Source organism: Homo sapiens, chromosome 9 (assembly GCF_000001405.40).
Source record: "Homo sapiens chromosome 9, GRCh38.p14 Primary Assembly".
Taxonomy (NCBI): Eukaryota; Metazoa; Chordata; class Mammalia; order Primates; family Hominidae; genus Homo; species Homo sapiens.
The window spans coordinates 104,846,023-104,866,445 of NC_000009.12; the positions used below are offsets into that span (position 1 = coordinate 104,846,023).

The 20,423-nt window shown below is 42.7% G+C and overlaps 1 protein-coding gene across 1 annotated transcript in view; it reads right to left on the reverse strand.

Moving 5' to 3' along the window:
- Positions 1–20,423, reverse strand: part of ABCA1 (ATP binding cassette subfamily A member 1) — a 147,150-nt gene that overhangs the window by 65,017 nt on the left and 61,710 nt on the right. The window contains exons 6-7 of the mRNA NM_005502.4: positions 15,657–15,778; positions 12,500–12,676 (exon numbers count right to left, since the gene is read on the reverse strand). Coding sequence (NP_005493.2) covers positions 12,500–12,676; positions 15,657–15,778 — 299 coding nt within the window. The remainder of the gene's footprint in view (positions 1–12,499; positions 12,677–15,656; positions 15,779–20,423) is intronic.

The window sequence follows — 20,423 nt, forward strand, 5'->3', positions numbered from 1 at the left end:
TTCAAGTCAGCACTGTTTCTAACACTGGAAATTGAATGTAGAACACTTATTTTTACATCGAGTTTTAGTCAAATCTTTATATGTACCAATTCATATATTTAATTGCTGTTATATGTCACCTAACTGCACAGCAGATATAGGACAATAATTCATTAGAACAGGGAAAAGATAAATTAGGGCAGAAAGCATAAGCTAAAGAAAAAAAAGAACAATAATTTACAGACTGTGAAGTCAGAATTGCTATAGCTGAGGAGCCTCAAGTTGGGTTCTGAGTGTTCAGGCTTCCAAAGAGAAAAAGACGTGAGATCAGTTTCTTCACTGTTATTTGTCAAGCAGGAAAAAAGTATCCAGGGAAAATCCACCTTTCTTGATGTTTCTATGAGCATTGTTTTATTCAATATCATATCAGACATCTCTGAAGTTTAGAGAAGGTTGGGCTATTTTGACATTTGTCATATCAGAGACTGCTGTGAAATTATAATGTAGACTACACAAGAAAATGTCTAGAAGTGGCTGGGACTCACTATCTCTGAGAAATAGCTGCCTGGGATGTTTTCTTTCAAAGAGAATTCCAAATGCAGAAGGGATTGAGTATCATTCTGATCATCACAATATCCAAGCATAATCCTCAATGTGCATTTCTAAGAAAACCTGCCTAAAGGTTCTATGAAAGAACTTGTCCAGCTCATTCATCTCTTCTGGAACGGGTTCTTCACCAGAGTCCCAGGACTCCCACATTCACAGTCCTCAAAGGGACCTACGCGGTCTCCCTTAAACGTCAGACTCAGATAGGCCTCTGTGATACGCAGAGGTGTTCATGATTGTTCCTTCCATAGAGAGTAATTCATGAGCAAAAACAGGTGAGGTGTTTTGTTTCTACTTTCTCTCTTTGGGTTCACTTTATAACTAAAGGTTAACACACTAGAAGCCGAACCTAGGGAGAACTTGCCTGGAAAACTATTACAAACACAAACTGAGAGATCTTAATTGAAAGCTATAGGAGGTAAAGTGTTTTTGTGTTTACCGTTAGGCCTACAAGATGACAGATGTTCAAGACAGCATAGCAAAAACAAAACAAACCCAGGACAAAACAAGAAACGCCAGATCCACATAACCTAAATTTAAGAAAAACTTAAAAACGTGGTAGTTAATCCACTTCTTTTATAAGGACTCAATGGAAATAAGATTGTTAGGATTCTTGTCACTCACTCTCCCCCGCCACCCTGTGCCCCAATTCTCCAGTCATGGGAACCTGGGGTAGCTATAGAACCCTGGGCAAATGACTCAAATTCCCCATCCTTCCATTTTCTCGACTATGCAGCAAAGTTTAAAATGCTGTGCACATATCACAGAGTTTTTATAAGCACTAAAACTAGAGGATATGTACAAAGCCCCTCGCACAGTGCCTGGCACATGGTAATTCCTCACAATTGTCAACAATGTCATCCCCTGCCTTTTTCTTCCCTTGCATGAAAGTTTACTGCCAAAACTGGAGGGCTTTTGTCTGCAAACAGGGTTTTCAACTTCTTAAAAAGACAAACATCCTTTCTCTGTTTCTCGGCAAGGTCTTAAACTTTTTCTTCTATTGAAATGTCCTTCCTCTGCTAGGCAGAGAGCTAGAGCTATCATCACACAGCATATCAGCCACACTCCAATGTGCTGTCTCTAATTGTATAATTACTCCCCACCACAAGGTGAAGACATCCTCATCCTGATTCCTGAAGGCTTGGGATAAAATGCCTTTCTCCCCTTCTAACCCTTTTCTTTTACTGAGCATTTGCCAAACGGCAAAATAAAAGATAATACTAAGTGGATGAAATATACATGATATGCATAATAGGTTGTGTATAGATATACTATATGCATCCATGTATGTTTTTACGTATATGTCTATATGTATAGACATACATACACACATATATCTTACACATATTAACTGGCCTCAAAGTTGACATTTCAGTTGAAAAACCTGAAGGAAAACTCAATCCCTATGGTAGGTATGTGTATACTTATATGTGCACACACACACACATATACATCTTTATCTTAATGTATATTCATTATGTACCTTCTCTTTAAAGCAGGTGATGTTTTTACAGCAGTGGTATAGCTTCCCTTGTAATTAAATTTAATTATCCAAAAGAAGTGACTTAATTTAAAAAATATATTAACTAAAAATGCTACCAGCTGCACTTGAATATGACCAAAATCATGGCAGAATTGTAAATGACTGGGATTCACTAACACTGTGAGGTTTGGGGAGCTACTGTATCAGAATCACCTGTGGTGCTTGTTAAATATGCAGATTCAGGCTGGGCATGGTGGCTCACACCTGTAATCTCAACACTTTGGGAAGCCAAAGTGGGTGGATCACCTGAGGTCAGGAGTTCAAGACGAGCCTGGCCAACACGGCGAAACCCCCTCTCTACTAAAAGTACAAAAATTAGCCAGGCATGGTGGCATGTGCTTGTAATCCCAGCTACTAGAGAGGCTGAGGCAGGAAAATTGCTTGAACCTGGGAGGCAGAGGTTGCAGTGAGCCAAGATGGCGCCAATACACTCCAGCCTGGGCATCAGAGTGAGACTCGGTCTCAGAAAAAAAAAAAAAAATGCAGATTCTCAACCAGCTAACACCTACTGAATGAGAAGTTTAAGAGTGTGATCCAGGAATCCTCAGGAGACTCTTTTGAGCACTGAGGTTTGAGAACCAGCACCATGTTCACAAAGCCTCCCTTCCCAGTATGCTTTGCGCCAACGTGCTTGGTGGTATATTCTGTGTCTGGTCCGCATACTACAATCTGCTTCAGACTCTGAAGCAGTGAAGAGGCCACTCGGTTCACCTGGCCCTGAGTAGGACCCAAGATGGTGCCAAACACATGGGGTGCCAGGTTTGTCACACCAATTAGATACAGTAGTCACCAAGTGCAGATGTTTCTAAAAACCCCAAACCCAACATTCACCCATTGTCACCATTACCGGTCATCTGTCTCCTGAAGGGTACAAATCAGTGAATGGGTCTGTTGTTTGTATAAAAGGTCTTCTCCAACTTAATGAATTTACATCTTCAAGGGCAATAGTTTTTCCAACATCTTTAGGACTTTTAGTTTAAATTTCTTAACTCTGGAGCAAGCTTATTCTCCTTCTCTTAAAAGCCCCACACTTCAGCAAAACTCCAGGCACACAGCAGGGCCTAAAGCATGACTGTTTAACCCAGGAATGTAATTGAGCATGGATGTAAACATAGGTCCTTATTAAGTTTGCTGTGGGCATCAGATTTTTACATTAGCAGACACAAATTCAATGCCATATCTTATGATATGACCTTCTTATCAGTAGTCTGTATGTTGGGTTTGACTGCTTGTTTAATTTGACTGTTTTTGGTTTTGGTCTCCAACAGAAACATTGGCTGAACCCACCCATGAGTAATAAGGTAGAACAGTCAATGCCATTGTTAGAATCATTTTTAAACTAGTTCTTTATTCGAGATTAAGTGCTCAGCATTTACTAATAATATTGGCAATCTGTAGTCAATATAAACAAATTTCCATTTTCAAAGGAATATTGGTTGGAGTTACACAATCAGGCATGGATTGACATCACAGGGTTAACAAAACACACATGATTCAAATTCTACATCAAGTTTAAAGCTTGGATTATCCAGATATTTTGCTCATGACTTAATTTTACTTTTCTGTGCATCCAAAACATACCATAACCTGAAAAAATAAGCCAAAGACTAGAAGCATGGATTTTTAAAAGTTTAGTATAAAAATAGAATACTATGGCAAAAATTAACCAGATTCCACATGTATCAACATTGATAAATCTCAAGAACATAATTCCAAATGAAGTGGCAGGCCAATATGCACACTTATACAATGTGAACACATTTAGGCCAGTACCAAATATTGTTATACATAGAATGTAAGTATACATGATATAGAGGATTAAAACATCCAACTGCAAGACAAGAGTTATCTCTGAAGAATGAGCTAGGGAAACAGAGGTGGCATCAGCTGTACCTGTAATGTTTTATTTCTTAAATAGAACCTGGAGTCAGCACGGCAAAATGATGGATGATGGTACAGGAGTGTTCTTTTTGTTTGTTTGTTTGTTTGAAGACGGAGTCTCACTCTGTCACCCAGGCTAGAGTGCAGTGGTGTGATCTCAGCTCACTGCAACCTCCCCCTCCTGGGTTCAAGCAATTCTCCTGCCTCAGTCTCTCACGTAGCTGGGATTACAAGTGCACGCCACCATGCCTGGCTAATTCTTGTATTTTCAGTAGAGGCAGTGTTTCACCATGTTGGCCAAGCTGGTCTCCAACTCCTGACCTCCAGTGATCTGGCTGCCTCAGACTCCCAAAGTGCTGGGATTGCAGGCGTGAGCCACCACACCCAGCCAGGAGTGTTCTTTATGTTATTCTCTGTACCTTTTTTCATGTTGAAACTATTTCATAATTTTCTTTTTAATTCAATGAAAAGATAAAAGAGGAAGGACAGGTGAGCAGGAAGAAAGGAAGGGTAAAGAATCTATGTTGGCCTGAGCACATATCAGATCTAACAGACAGATAACTTCCTTGAATAAAATTAACCCCAGGAAAGAATTCATGCCTTGAAACTAGAACACAAAATACGGTCTGAGAATCATGTGTCTGCACCTGCTATTAACTGTGCTCTCCTGCTCATGCTTACTTGACGAAGGCAGACAAAACTTGCCAAATCCTATTTCCAAAGAGCTTCAGTAAAAAATTCACAGCTTGGAATTCCTACTATTATTTTTCTAACCAAAAACATTCTCTTGGCTATGAACTCACATAGGTCTCCATTGCACCCAGGAGACAAGTGACTTTCTTATACGAAGTAAAGGAAATGGGAAAAAGAAGGAAAATAAAACCTTTAGTGAGGGACTATATTTTCTGAGTTAAGATAACAGGAATTCATGTATGACTCAATATTTTCAGATCATAACTGTAATGTCATTACAGGAAGAATGCACAAATGCTTACTGTTATTATTCAAAAGCTCCCACCCACTTCTGCAAAATGTGTTAATCACAACATACCATGTTTCCTAAAAGCATGGCATTCTGTGACATTGGCCCCAGAAAGATAAAGGCTGTTGTGCCCCATTCTTTCTGGGTCTAAGAGATGGCTTCATTATATTCTTTCCATCCTCATGAACTTAGTTCTGCTCCAAAGGCCATTCACATTCACAGAAATGCTCTGTTTCGTATTCACCTCATCAAGTCACTCAGCCTGTGGAGCCTTTAATGGCTCCCTTTACTCTGAGGATAAGGCCCTATATCCTCACATGGCTCGTGAAGAAAGACCTGCCTCAGCCGACCTTTGCCCACCTCTGCAGGCATCACGTCTCATCGTTCCTTCTCCCATCAAACTCCCCACAGCTATATCTGCTCCATGCTGAACTATCTCAATCAGGTACAGTTCCCCTAAATGCCACCTTCTCTTCCCTCTCCTCTCTGGACCAATGCATATACTATGTCCTCTACCTGGAACATTCTACTCCCTGTTCTTTACCTGGCTGACATCCATTCTTTAGGTCCCCACTTAGAGGATGTTTCCTTCCTGACTGGAAAGACTGCAGTAGGAGGCCCCATCAGGGACTGTATCACACCCAGCAGAGCGTCTCCTGCTCTATACGGCAGCTGCTCCTTTCCTGGTCTGTCCCACCCATTCCCCAACCAGGAATGAAACAGAGAGGGCTGGACCTTGCACATGACTACCTCCCTGGGCCAGAGCATGGCACTGATTAGGGCTCAGTAAATGTTTACTAAATGAATGAATGCATTTGTTAATCCATTATCACTACACGAAATGAACACTGGAAGATAATATTACAATGCATTAGGAGTCACAGCCAAATAGAAGTAGAAAACACATCTGTGCAATTAAAATGCAACTGAAAATATTTTCAACTTATAAAAATCTCATCTACATCTAAATTTTTCAGGAATTCTATGACAAAATGAGACGTGGGTATACATATATTGGAATAGTATTTTCAACACAATACACAATTTTGTTTTCCTCCTGGGAATGCATGTTACAATGTGTTCATTGAAACATTTCAAATGTCCTTTAAATATCTTCATAAAGTAGACAAAAATCTCTACTTCACTTTGACCATATGCAAAATCCAACTCAGGCTGGGATTAGTATGTTTTAGTTCAAACTGAAAACAAGTAAACCACAAATCAAAGACTATCACCACCCAGGAGTAATTGCTATCTCTTTCTGGTGATTTCTATGACAGTAAAGATTTCCTCTGGGAAACATTTTAATATTTTTTATTGAAATACGAAATTATAAGACTACATTTCTAAGGAATATTCTAATCTTTTAAAAAATAAATCAACAACCTAAATATTAACTTTCAAATTAGATGTGTTTAACGCATTCAAACGCTTCATTTTTTGCTGTTTCTAAACATAGTTAAATACATCTACTACCACATAATTCAGAGGAAAAAATTAAACCTGTATCTTAGATCTGGCAACAATATTTAATGAAGAAATAGTATAACTAAGGTGAAAATGTCTGTGTAAATGGAGTTGAGCAGTCATATTAACACACTGCTATATCTACCAGCTAGTGCTCTTCTTTTCCCATAAGAATGAGGTGAACATAGAGTCTGAAGAGTAAATCTACACAGTGTGTCATTCCACCCATTACCAACCCATGGGGATTGCGGCTGCTTGCTGGGAGAAAGCAAGTAAACAGGTGGGCAGTCAAATCACACAAAGCCAAACAAAATCTGATACTTTCCAACAATGTCCGGGTTCCAGACAGGAGAACACGAGCAAGTGTTCTCTCCTGCAAAAACCCACACAGACGCTTTAAGGACTGCATGTAACAAGCTGAAGTATCTAGCCCTAAAAAGCCATGAGGCTGAAGGTAACAACAAGCCCCATCTGTATTCTGGGTCCTTGTCTAAGAGTCAAGAAGAAGCTAAATAAAGACCCCTCAAGACAAGGATGACTTTGTTCACTCCTTATCCATCTGCTTCTTCGATCTGTACACAGCTCAGCTGTGACATTACTTGTCTTCTGGGAGCCTCGGGGCACCCTCACTTTCCCTTCTTTCCCTCATGAACCAAGATCCACTTGGTGGGAATGTGCTAGGCACACTGGAAGACACGTGGACAGTGGAACCACTGGTTCCACAAAAACCACTTCTTTTTTTTCCCCACGTTATTGAGATGGAGATAAATCTGCATGCCTGGACTTCCAACCTTAAGGATCAGACACCATTTTCACATCACTGAGGCAATGGTGAGTCAAGGACAGAGCCCAAACCTAGCTCATTCAACCCCACATTCCTCCCACTACAGCCCACAGTGTCTGTGTTGGCAAAGACTGCTGTGAGGGAGCTGGTCGAGAGGTCATCAGTGAAACTGGAACGAGGACAGCTCTCACTCTGTAGACCCAGGACCTACAAAGAATTCCTCAAATTCCCAGACTCAGCCTTCAGCCTGGATCTCAATGCCCATCAGAATGAAAGCTCCAAGTGCATCACAACTGCCTTGTTGGTGGTCGAACTTCAGTGCCTAGAACAGTGCTGGTATAAAGCAGACATACAATAAACACTTGATGGATTTTTTTCGATGAATGTCTCATACCTAGTTCAGAGATGTTCTCCTCCCAAAGTCACCTCTGTTTGGTTTGTACATTAAAAACCCTAATAGGTGATGCTTATTATGCTTTAGAGTCACTTTCCAAATATGGGCAAGAAAAAGCAGAGAGCTGCAGAGGGGTCAACAAAAGCCAAAGGCACTGAGGGAACACTTCAAATATATGATAAACTATTCCTTCCAATCAAGAAAGCTACAGCAGACTGAATATCCCCTGCAAAGATGTCCACACCCTATTCCTGGAGTCTGTGAATATGCACATTTCATAGCAAATGCACTGTGTAGATGTAATTAAAGTTATGAACCTCAAAATAAGGAGATTATCCTGGATTATGTGAATGGGCCCAAACTAAACACCTGAGCCCTTAAAAGTAAAGAACTTTCTCTGACTGGAGACAGATGTGACAGGAGGCGTCAGAGGTTTAAAGTGTGAGAGATACTCAACCCACTTGTGGGAGAGGAGTCACATGAAAAGCATAAGAAGGAATGATGGCAACCTTTAGGAGCAAAAACCAGCCCCTGCTGACAGCCAGCAAGGAAATGGACTTCAGTCCTACAACTGCACGGGACTGAATTCATCTGATATCCTGGATGAGCTCCAAAGCAGATTCATCTTCAGAGCCCCCCCAAAAAAACACAGCCCCACAAACACCTTGATATCAGCCCTGTGAGCCTCTAAGAAGTAGACCTAGGTGAGCTCTACTGTATCCTGGCTTCTGGCCTTATGAAATAATAAATGTATGTGGTTATAAACTGCTAAGTATTTGGTGACTTGTTATAGTAGCAATAAAAAAAAAAAGTACAATCGGAAGCAAATCAATCTCTCGGGCCAAAATTTGCTGGTCCACTACTATGGCTCCTTCCTGCAGTCCAAAACAGATTGGAGGTTTCTGTGAGACAGGAAGGTGGCCCTCTCCTCGCTCTGGGAAAGGTACATGCTGCTTTAGGAAGGACCCAAGAGAAAGTTAAGAAAAGTTCACCTGCCCAGCACACTCTACAGCAAAATACACCTTGCTGAGCAGCAAGACAAAAGAAGCCCCTGCCAGGTGGCCCTGAGCTCCTCCTAGAAGTTGTTAACTCAACAGTACAAATACAATGAGCGCACTCCATAACAAGTCTCCCTCATGACTAAGTGCATTTATCCCACAGATAATATTTCATATATCCACCCACCTTTGTTCTCATCAAAAGGATATCTTTTGAGTTGAGTCCAGCTCCTAGAAAATACCTGACACATAATAAGAACTGAATAAATATTGCTCAATGCATGAGTAAGATTTTTAAGTAAAAAGCAGAGAACACCTAATGGAAACTGCTCTTAACCCCAGGGAACTTTAAAAACACAACAGCGTTCTGACATCCAGTATTAATTTTCACACAAGGTACGGACTGAGACATAAATAAGAATCTTTGGGTGAAAAGTCTTGACAATATCTGAGCAAGAATGCAGTTTTTCACTGAAATACTCACCAGGACCACTTCGCTTGGTATGAGTTCTAACACTGATCTACAGAAGAAAACTTCTATCTTTTTTTTCTTTTTCTGAGACAGAGTCTCACTCTGTCACGCTGGCTGGAATGCAGTGGAGTGATCTCAGCTCACTGCAACTTCCACCTCCTGGGTTCAAGCGATTCTTGTGCCTCAGCCTCTTCAGTAGCTGGGATTACAGGTGTGCGCCACCACGCCTGCCTGGCAAATATGTGTATTTTTAGTAGAGAGGGGATTTCACCACGTTGGCCAGGCTGGTCTTGAACTCCTGGCCTCAAGTGATTCATCCGCCTCGGCCCCCACAATATGCTGGGATTACAACAGATGTGAGCCACTGTGCCTGGCTGAAAACTTCTATCTTGACGCAATTGTTTTCAAGGACATAATTTCTACTACTCATGTCAATTAAATTATCAACTTCTATTTATTGAGCACCTATTGTGTGCCAGGCCCCACACCAGGCTCTTCATATGTGTAACCAATAATCACAACAAAGAGTCAAATATATTATGTGTATGTAGAAGAAGAGAAAACTGAGGCTTACAGGGACTAAATAATTTATCCGACATCAATGCTGGTAAAATATTCAAATGCAATATTCAAACCCAGACCCAGCTGACCCTCCCACACTGCCATACTTTCCCCATGTTGCCAAAACACTGCTTTCCAGAGCACCCAGATTCTGAAGGAGGCCCAGGAGAAACTCACAATACCCTTGGCTGGAAACAGGGAAACACTCACGCACACACAAAAGGAGAAATGTTTCAAAATATGTCTCTCGTGAAATTCCACTTTTGGTACAGAAGCACATATTGAAAGAAGAGTTTCTCTCCCCATCATGTTGGGCTTTGCATCTCCGGTTGCTGCTACTGCTGCACTTCTTGGCACAGTTAACTGCCCATGTGCAATGTCATCACATGTCACATCCATCTACCATCACAAATGTTGAAATTTCAACCAAGCAGCAATAGAAAAAGGCTGCTTAATGCAAATCAAGTATCAGTCCCAGCATTCCAATTAAGGCCCTGCTTAATTCAATAAGTAAGAGTCACATTTCAAAATGTTTGGAAGTCATTTCATCCTAAAGCCTTCCTCAGAAATCATCTTTACACAAAACAATCCTGATCACTCATTCTACTCTAACTCAAGAGCCCCATTTTGAAGAGAGGTCTCTTGGTAACAGCAGAGGGGCAGAAGCAGAACCTGAGTGCTCCACAAACCCGAGATATGCAGAAAGCACCTGGTAGTAGCCACCTTAATCAATACCTGGTCATAAACCAACGCATCCACAAGGCACAACCACAACACAGCAGGATGGGACACAGTGTAGCTGACGGTTCTGAAGGTGCATTTCCCTGCACTCTGTCACGCTGCTAATCCTCCCAGAGAGATACTGTCAGGTTGAAACCTGAGCTGTTAATTATCAGATGATGAGGGCTAAACAGTCATTCTACTATGAGTATAATTCAGGCATTGTGTGAGTGGAGGGATTTTACCGGGTTGTGTACACAATAGGTGTTTAATGAGTAAACAGAAGTGAAATGGAATGAATGGGCACAGCACCGGAACAAATTACAATGTCTTCTAAAAACACCCATCTTTTCCAAAATTTCAATCATTCCAGCTGAAAGGGTGAGCATTTGTCATGCAGTGAAGCAGCCCAAAACAGTCCAAGAAAATGGTTTTGTAACAAAGTTTTGTACCATTCATAATAACCTTTCACCCTCTATGATTCACAGCACAAAAAAGACCAACAGGCTGCAAATGTCTGCACAAGTCAGCTTCTCTAACTTTTTAGGCCAGTTACTTAGGGTTGCAAAGATCCCTGTAGAGAAATATACCTTACTTTAAAATTATAACATGGGACCAGGCACGGTGACTCATGCCTTTAATCCCAACACTTTGGGAGGCCGAGGTGGGCAGATCACTTGAGCTCAGGAGTTCGAGACCAGCTGGGCAACATAGTGAAACCCTATGTCTACTAAAAATACAAAAAATAGCTGGGCGTGGTGGCAGGTGCCTGTAGTCCCAGGTACTCGGAGGCTGAGGCATGAGAATCACTTAAGCCTGAGAGGCGGAGGTTGCAGTGAGTCGAGATCGCGCCACTGCACTCCAGCCTGGGCAACAGAGTGAGACAGATCTCAGCTCACTGCAGCCTCCACCTCCTAGGCTCAAGCGATCCTCCTGCCTCAGCCTCCCGAGTAGCTGGAATTACAGGTGCCCACCATCACGCCCGGCTATTTTTTGTATTTTTGTAGAGACAGGGTTTCACCATGTTGGCCAGGCTGGTCTCAAACTGCTGACCTCACGTGATCTGCCCGCCGTGGCATCCGAAAGTGGTGGGATTACAGGCGTGAGCCACCACACCTGGCCGATACAAAAACTTTTTGATGGTCAATCAAAGGTATGAATCCTGAAGTGTGTTTCTAAGGTCACATTCTAGGGTATGATCTGGGAACAGGGTCCAGAAACTGAGTATTCTTAATTCTCTGGGAGGACCAACTCTCTATAAAGAATTCGTGCTGCACAAAATCCAAGAGTATTACAATTTCATTTTATTATAATAAGGAACATCTCTTTCCAGATACATCCTTCCTCCAGGAATCTTTCCCTGGTTTTAAGAGAATCTATCTGGTGAGTAGAAAACCAGAATCCTGGATATTAAATGATGATGTTTGGGGTAGCGAGAGGAATTTCACCAGAGCTCTCAGAACACCTAGAGACATATTTGTTCTGGAACTATATAAAACACTCTGATGACCAAACTGCTCAGGCTCACCAGTATTTTTTGGTTAAGAATGAATGGGTATTCTCATAGAGTGCTTCTCTGAACTATTGATTCCTAGGCTGAAAAAACTTCGTCGGAATTTTTCTTTGCAATGTTATTACTAAGTAAGCTAAATAGTGTGGTCTCATCTAATTCCAGGGCCTTCCAACTGTGACAGCCCACAATGTCATCTTTATGATGGGTTTTTAAACATAAATAGATATCCATCTTCCCATCAATGGTTTCAAGACTTTTTTTTTTTAAATATGAAGAACTCTGTTTTCAAATGAGCTCTTGCTTAGTATTATAATAGTAAAAACATGAAAAAGCAGGTCTTCTCTGATTGAAACAAGCACAAAAAACTTTTGGCTTAAACTCAGCCACACCCAGCTTATTCTTCCCATTCACCCTTTGGGAGATGGCCCAAAAGTCTGAAAGAACACTAAGAACACTTAGAATACCACTGAACTAAATTATATCACAAACTCCCAGCCAGCCGTACTTTTCTACAAAACAAAGTCATGCTGTCCAAGGAAAAGCCTCACATTCCGAAAGCATTAGTGCTTGAAGTTTCTCCAGTGAGCAAGTCTACTCACCAGGATTGGCTTCAGGATGTCCATGTTGGAACGAAGTACTCGCTCTGCTGCAGCCAGTTTCTCCCTTGGTAGGCCACAAAGCTCAGAAACTTCTTGGTCACCAAGTTGAATCATCTCTTCTGATTTTGATCCATTGCACAGACTTGTCAAATGTAACTGGTAGCCTTGCAAAAATACCTGGAAGCATTTCATGCAAAGAGAGACAAGCACAAGAGGATTATGAAGATTGGAAGCTGGGTCCTTGAAGTCTTTTGGAGAACTTCATATCAATACAGCTTTGAAGATCTTAAAACAGGTTCCATTGCAACAGTCCAATGCATCAGGTCTCTTTACTGAAACTCAGAATGTATCAAAGCACAAGGCACAATGACAGGACACTTAAAACCTGCAAGTTGCATTAACTCAGTATCTCCCACACTCTTGTCCCTCTTGCAAAGAAAAATCCAGAGTCCAACTCGTTTTCTTAAGAGTGGGACACATGATTTGGCAAACAGGAATCCAGAGTCTGAATTCCTGGAACCACTTTTATTAGATGAACAACATCCTCACTATTTTGCAATTTATGTTGTCTTTAAGTAGGACTGGGCTGAAATATGGGGAGAAAGCATTTATGCTATTTATCTGTAAGTGTAGATATTTAACTAAGACACAGAACTATGTTCTAACAATTTCAGAATTTGGAATTCTCCATTTTACTTGCCCTAGAGCAGAGTGCCAGAAAGCCAGGCCTCTTATCTCATTGATAGGCCAATTCTAAATCATTCTTATCTTTTCTTTATACCAAACCCACTAGAGAGCCTCTTCTTGGTCATATTTTACTTAATTGCCTTTCTGGACCTAAACTATTCTACTTCATACGTGGTCCAGTGGACCACAAGCTTTGAAAGAAGAGCCTGTTTATCCTGCTCACTTTGCATCCACAGTGCTGAAACATTATAGCCAGTATTTGTTGAAGGAATGAACAATGCAGACTCTTTATTACACCATTACTAACTGCCCTGTTTAAATTGGGGCAGGCTGATGTGCTTGTAGAACAACCTAAGGTGAGTGATGGACCAAAAGCCTCTCAAAACCCATGCAGCTTTTGAAATACTGCAGAACATTTGGCCTACCATGATTCCCATTAAGTTTTTGCTGACTGCCAGAGATACTCAAGCACACTTCAGTTCTACTCATTTCTTTAACTGGTCCTTGCTGCTAGGCTGTCAGCCTACAGTTAGTGTCTATGTTTAAGAATACTGACAACAGGCCGGGTGCAGTGGGTCATGTCTGTAATTCCAACACTTTGGGAGGCCAAGGCAGACGGATCACCTGAGGTCAGGAGTTCAAGACCAGTCTGGCCAACCAACATGGTGAAACCCCGTCTCTACTAAAAATACAACAATTAGCCAGGTGTGGTGGTGCATGCCTGTAATCCCAGCTACTCAGGAGGCTGAAGCAGAGAATCACTTGAACCTGGGAGGCAGAGGTTGTAGTGAGCTGAGATCACGCCACTGCACTCCAGCCTGGGTGACAGAGCGAGACTCCAACTCAAAAAAAAAAAAAAAAAAAGAATACTGACAACGGAGGGCCTTTGTTGATGTCATCTTCTGCCTCTGCCCAATCATGCTTTGTTCCCTTTCCTTTCCTTACACAAGTATTGATCCCAAGAATTTTTCAATAAATGTCTTGTATGCTCAAAAAAAAGAATACTGAAAATACAGAAACTCCAAGGACCATCCAAGGACCATCTCCATGCTTAGGATGCCCCTTATTTTAAACTGATTAGATGTGACAGATATGAAATTGGCAGGGGGCAATGGAAATTATGCTAAATGCAACTACTTTCAAAAGCCTGATGCCTTTGGCCCATCTCCTAACCACACAATTGGTAAACACAAGGCATATTTTCCTAGTTTCAGAAGGGCACGCAGTAAGCACATTTTTCTAATTTTAAAAATTCTAGATCATGTGAAGCAAAAAGCTTATTTTCAAGAATAAACATTTCCACTACTTCTGCTTCTTGTAAAGACAAGCTAGTATGCAGACACGAGATAGGGGAGGAAGCAGTTCCCCTTTCTGCCAGAGAATAAGCTCAAAAAGTGTCTCTGAAAAATCAATAACCATGCAAGCTGGGTCTGGTGCTACCCACTGCACAAGAGCTGTCTAATAATGATGCCAGAGGAAGTTTTCTATGATTCTAAAGTTAAAATTCAACATAAACACTAATATTATTTCCTGATTTTATAAAATTCTTTTTTTTTTTTTTTTTTTGAGATGGAGTCTCACTCTGTCAGCCAGGCTGGAGTGCAATGGCGTGATATTGGCTCACTGCAACCTCCGCCTCCCAGGTTCAAACGATTCTCCTGTCTCAGCCTCACGAGTAGCTGGGACTACAGGAGCATGCCACCACGCTGAGCTAATTTTCATATTTTTAGTAGAGACAGGCTTTGCCATGTTGGCCAGGATGGTCTCGAACTCCTGACCTCAAGTGATTTTCCCGCCTTGGCCTCCCAAAGTGCTGGGATTATAGACGTGGGATTACAGACCTTTGAAGTGATCTCGTCCATCCCACCTGAGCTTTGTGACACTAGTCCGTTCATTTCTGTTTCCCCAGTGCCATCTCACAGAGCTAAAATTGGAGAGATTTAAAGCCTTATTCCCACAAGCTGCAGGGACTGATCTCCTATTTAATGCAAAGCAAGCAACAGTTCTCAACTCAGTGCCACTGCGTCCAGCCCTTATTTTATAAAATTCTTAAAAGTCTCCAAATACACCCTTGTCTAAAGTCTCCTGTCCTCAATTTTTTAGACAGAGCTCCTCCAGATCAATAACCCTTAACCACGGTTATTGCCTCAGAACTGTGAATATTTTTTAAGTTTAACTCAACTTAAAATGTATCCCTTGTAGGAGGAAATCATCACAAATGCCAAGTGATAAGCCAGAAATCAATTTTATTTTAACCAGCTGGCCCATGACGCCAGGTTGCATATTCCACTCCTGGATGGTTTGGCAATTCCTGCCTGAATAGGGAAGTAAAATTAAGTGAAGTTGTATTCAAACTACCTCCCTCCCCTTCACCACCATTACAAGGACAAGGGTTTATTCATTTCTTTCCAGTAGCTGCACAACGTAATTGCCATCAGCCCTACTGAGGAAGCTGGAGGCATCAGCTTACCTTGTGGAGAATGACATCAGCCCTCAGCATCTTGTCCACAGTAGACTTTGGGAGAGAGAGGTTGTGATACAGGAACCCAGAGAAGGTTTCATTGTCCACCAGGAAATCTTGAAGCTTCAAGTCTATTGAGAAATAGTGTTTTATTTTTATTTAGTAAGTAACTCAAAAAAAAAAAAAAAGTGGGCACAATGGGACAGTGGAGAAACGTTATCATAATATTGATGATCAACAGTTGCCTGGCTAAACACACACAGGAATGAGATAGGGGAGCATCGCCATATCAGGAGAGGCATGAAAATATTGCTTTCTGGTAACATGTTGAGCCACACTCAGCATGTGCTCCTCAACTCAAACAGTGTGATGGTGCTGTTACACACACACACACACACACACACACATACACACACACACAGCCTTTCCTTTTCTTTTTTTTTTTTTATTTTGAGACGGAGTCTCACCCTGTCACCTAGGTTGGAGTGCAATGGTGGAATCTCAGCTCACTGCAACCCCCGCCTCCCGGGTTCAAGAGATTCTCCTGCCTCAGCCTCCCGAGTAGCTGGGATTACAGGTATGCATCACCATGACTGGCAAATTTTTTTTTTTTTATCTTTAGTACAGACAGGGTTTCACCATGATAGGCAGGCTGGTCTCAAACTCCTGACCTTGTGATCCAACCTGCCTTGGCCTCCCAAAGTGCTGACAGTACAGGCGTGAGCCACCATGCCCGGTCTTTCTCTTCTAAATGATCTCACCCACCCCACCTGAGCTTTGTGGCACTAGTCCGTTCATTCCTGTCTCCCCACTGCCTTTTCACAGAGCTAAAATTGGAGAGATTTAAAGCTTTATTCCCACAAGCTGCAGAGACTAATCTCCTGTTTAATGCAAAACAAGCAATGGTTCTCAAACTTAAGTATGCATCAGAATCACCTGGAGAGCTTGTTAAAATGCAGACTGCCGGGCCGGGCCGGGCCGGGCCGGGCCGGGCCGGGCCGGGCCGGGCCGGGCCGGGCCGGGCCGGGCCGGCCCCCACCCCCACCCCCACCCCCACCCCCACCCCCACCCCCACCCCCACCCCCAGAGTTTCTGATACAGCGGCCCTGGGATGCGACTGGAGAATCACTTACAGGTGATGCTGATGCTGCTGACCTGGGGACCATGTTTTGACAAACACTGGCAGAGTGCATTACGCATATCAAAGTGCCTTCACAGACATGGTCTCATTTTCATTCCAAACATAAAACATGTGATACAAAGCTCCAAAACCCAGGTCTGCCAGGCTTTAGGAAAACACATTAACATATATTTAAACCATCAGCCCTATTAAATGATTTGATTGCTAAAGGATTTCATACGGAATCTCCCTAAATAATAGGCCCTCTGAGTACAGTTAGAAAAGGCTTCAATCCAGTGCAACAAAACAGAAAAAGCAGCACTAAGAATCCAGAATTTTAGTTTCTAGAGTTGGAGGCTGTGTCTGGTGGCGTCCCTGCGTACCTCATGTCATCTTTCTGAACCTCAATTTCTTGATCTCCAAAATGAGAGGTTTCTGACCAGATGCTTGGTAGGAGCCCTATGACTCCGAAACAGTATAGTTTTCCCTGACTCATCTCATTTGGCTGTCTACCTCTTCTCCTTCCAACCCACTCTCCTAACAGCCTAACTTCTTTGTAATAAAGATAAAACCAGCTCATCAGGACCACATGAACTGAGCCCACATGGCCAGGCACTAAGCAACCTCTAGAGGGCAAACTTTGCAAACTGAAATCATTTACCAGAAGAGAAACAGGTTTGATCTGAAAATGGGGCTACAGTGTGAGGCTTAATGAGGACAGGAGTTAATCCGCGGAGCTAAGAGGGTCACATGCAGAGATAAAGTAACAGGAGGGCCTGACAGCCCAGCCAGTCTCTCATAAATGCTGTATGATCCAGGTGTATTCTGCTTTAGGCAAACTTCAGTAATATTGAGTTATATAGACAGAATAAATTGAGCAAGATTTACATCGCTAGAGAAATGATTCACTGCTACCCCTCTATGGCTAGCTCCTAGTTATTCCTCATGACAGCCAGTAGCTGTTCTTAGGCCCAGTTAGTGTCCCTCAGAATCAGTGCTCCTGCAAACTGCTACCTACCTGATGCTTCCCATCACATGTGACTCTACACTGTTAGCATTAGGCTCTCTACTGCAGTTGTCAAACCTCAGAGCACCTAAGCTTCATTTAGGGAGCATGCGAAAATGCAGTTTCTTGGGCCCAGTCCCCAGAGATTCTGAAATAGTGGGTCTAGAGTGCAGAGCCTACAAATCTACATTTGAATAAGCATCCCTTACACTTTTAATGTTGGGGGAGGGAGGTGTGGAACCACAGTTTAAGGAACATTGTTTTACTTGCATGTTGTCTCTACCAGACTATGCCTATAGGATAGGGAATATGCGTTCTTAGTACCACCAATGCCCAGATCAGGCCTGGCACAGAATTACTGCCCAGTGAAGGGTAGCTGAATACTAAACACTAGGAGATGGGATTAGGGCTGACAAGGTTCCAAAAGTATCTGAGTACCATCATAGGAGATTTCCTTTTAGCTGGCCAGGTCCAGGAAGAGCCCAGGGATGTCAGGACCATCCCCAGGCCACACCCCAGGAGTGAACAGGACTTCTAACCACTGGAACTGCCTTCCCAGGAACAGAAAGCGACATCCGGGGTCACTTTCTGTTCTTGGGAGAAACAGGAAGGAAGGTGTAAGCTGGTGTCTTCAGTTGAGGACTGGTGTGAAAAGGTAGACATTAATCACTGTACAACCATGGAAAAAGCACCACCCTGGGAGTCAGAAACCTGGGTTCTAAATCCATTTATTTGTCGAGTCATTTCATGTAGTTGTGCCTCCACTGCCTTATCTATAAAATGAAGGGTCAAAAAAGGCCTCTGTGAAACCTCAACAGAAACAGAATACACGTATTAGCTAACCCTCACTGACTAGGTGGGCCATAGCTTCCTCCTGAGCAGAGCCAGAGCAATACATCATATTGCACCAGGGAACTTCAAAACAGCTCCCTCCTTCCCAAGCAGGGTGGCAGAAGTGTGGGAGGGCGACCCAGGCCACCCCTGCAATGGGCCTAGGTCATCCTGCAACACTCTCCAGACCAGTGAGTGTGCTCAGCATGTTTATAAGACTTCTGTTATGTTAACAGGCTCTGAAGATGAGAACATCTGGATGTGATCAAGCTCCAGCCTCCTATCAGTGAATCCCCCGGATGAGACATAAGAACCCAGAGACTGATTAAACAGTCAACAACCCTTGGCTGTGCACGTGCATGGTGTGGTAGGTTCGCTGGGTTGGGAAGCAGCAGGGAGGGCCAAAGATCCTCCACTACAAAGAACTTGCAGCCTGATCACGTGGATATCCACCCATGTAGGCTTAGACTCACACACTAGCACCAACCTGTGTGAAAACAGGAAGGCAACATGGTGTAGTATACTGGTTCTCAAACATGACTGCCCGTTAGACTCAGCTGGGGGCTTCACAAAAATCCCAAAGCCCAGGCCACACCATGGAGCAACTAATGAGAACTGCTAGGGTAAGACCCAGGCATCAGAATTTAATAAAACCTGGCTGGGTGAGGTGGGCAGATCACTTGAGGTCAGGAGTTTGAGATCAGCCTGGTGAAACCCAGTCTCTACTAAACATATCAAAATTAGCTGAGTGTGGTGGTGGGTGCCTGTAATCCCAGCTACTTGGGAGGCTGAAGCAGGAGGATCACTTGAACGTGGGAGGCAGTGGTTGCACTGAGCAGAGATGGCACCATTGCACTCCAGCCTGGGTGACAGAGCGAGACTCTGTCTCAAAAAAAAAAAAAAAAAGAATTTAATAAAATTTTTCAGGTGATTGCAGCCAAGTCTGAGAAACAATGATGTGGGGGAAACATCAGGGTTTGGGACCAGAAAAACCTAAATTTGATACTGCACTCTCCTGTGAAATAGCTGTGTGACTGTGAGAAAGTGACTTTACCTCCCTGAGCACAAATTTTCTTACCAATTAAGTGAAGGTAATAGTATCCACATTTCAAAGATATGAAGATCAGAGATACTCATCATGGTAGGTGCTCAATATATGGTAATAATTTGTGATTATCAAAAAGATTTTTTCACTCAACTTTACCAATGTACAACAATGCCATTTATAGAAAAGATGGGGACACAGTCCCTGCCTTCGAGGAACTTTCAAGGCTGAAAGGGGAGATAAAGAGGCAAATCAATTCAAGAAGGCAGAAGGAAGGATAAGCAAGCCAAAAGGAGACAGTAAATGGAAGCACTGGCCCAAGATGAGGTTTATCTGTAAGTGCTTCATGGCGAGCAACCAGACTGGAGCCAAGTTCTGGAAAAGGACAGAGTCAAAAATCCCTAGAAGTGGCTGGAGAGGAAGGGGTAAGACCTCTCATGATGACAACGACCAGGACATTTTGTGGTCATAATGCTATGCACATAGTAGATTCTCAACAAATGAATGAACAAGCAGATAATTAGAGAAGAGATTTCTCAAAACCTCAGATCTGGGTAGTAGGAAGGGGAGAAAAAAGGAGGGGGTGAGGACAGAGTACAGTGGCTTTGTATCTGCTGGTCTCAGTCTTCTCCCCTATGTTGCTGGCAGGAAAATGGGTGGAAAGCCAAGAATATTAAGAAAGCCAGATGTCTGAAACATACCTTCTCCTCTTACCCCATCCTCATGACATGGCCCATGAGTCACCTCCTCCAGGAAGCCTGCCCTGGCCTTCCC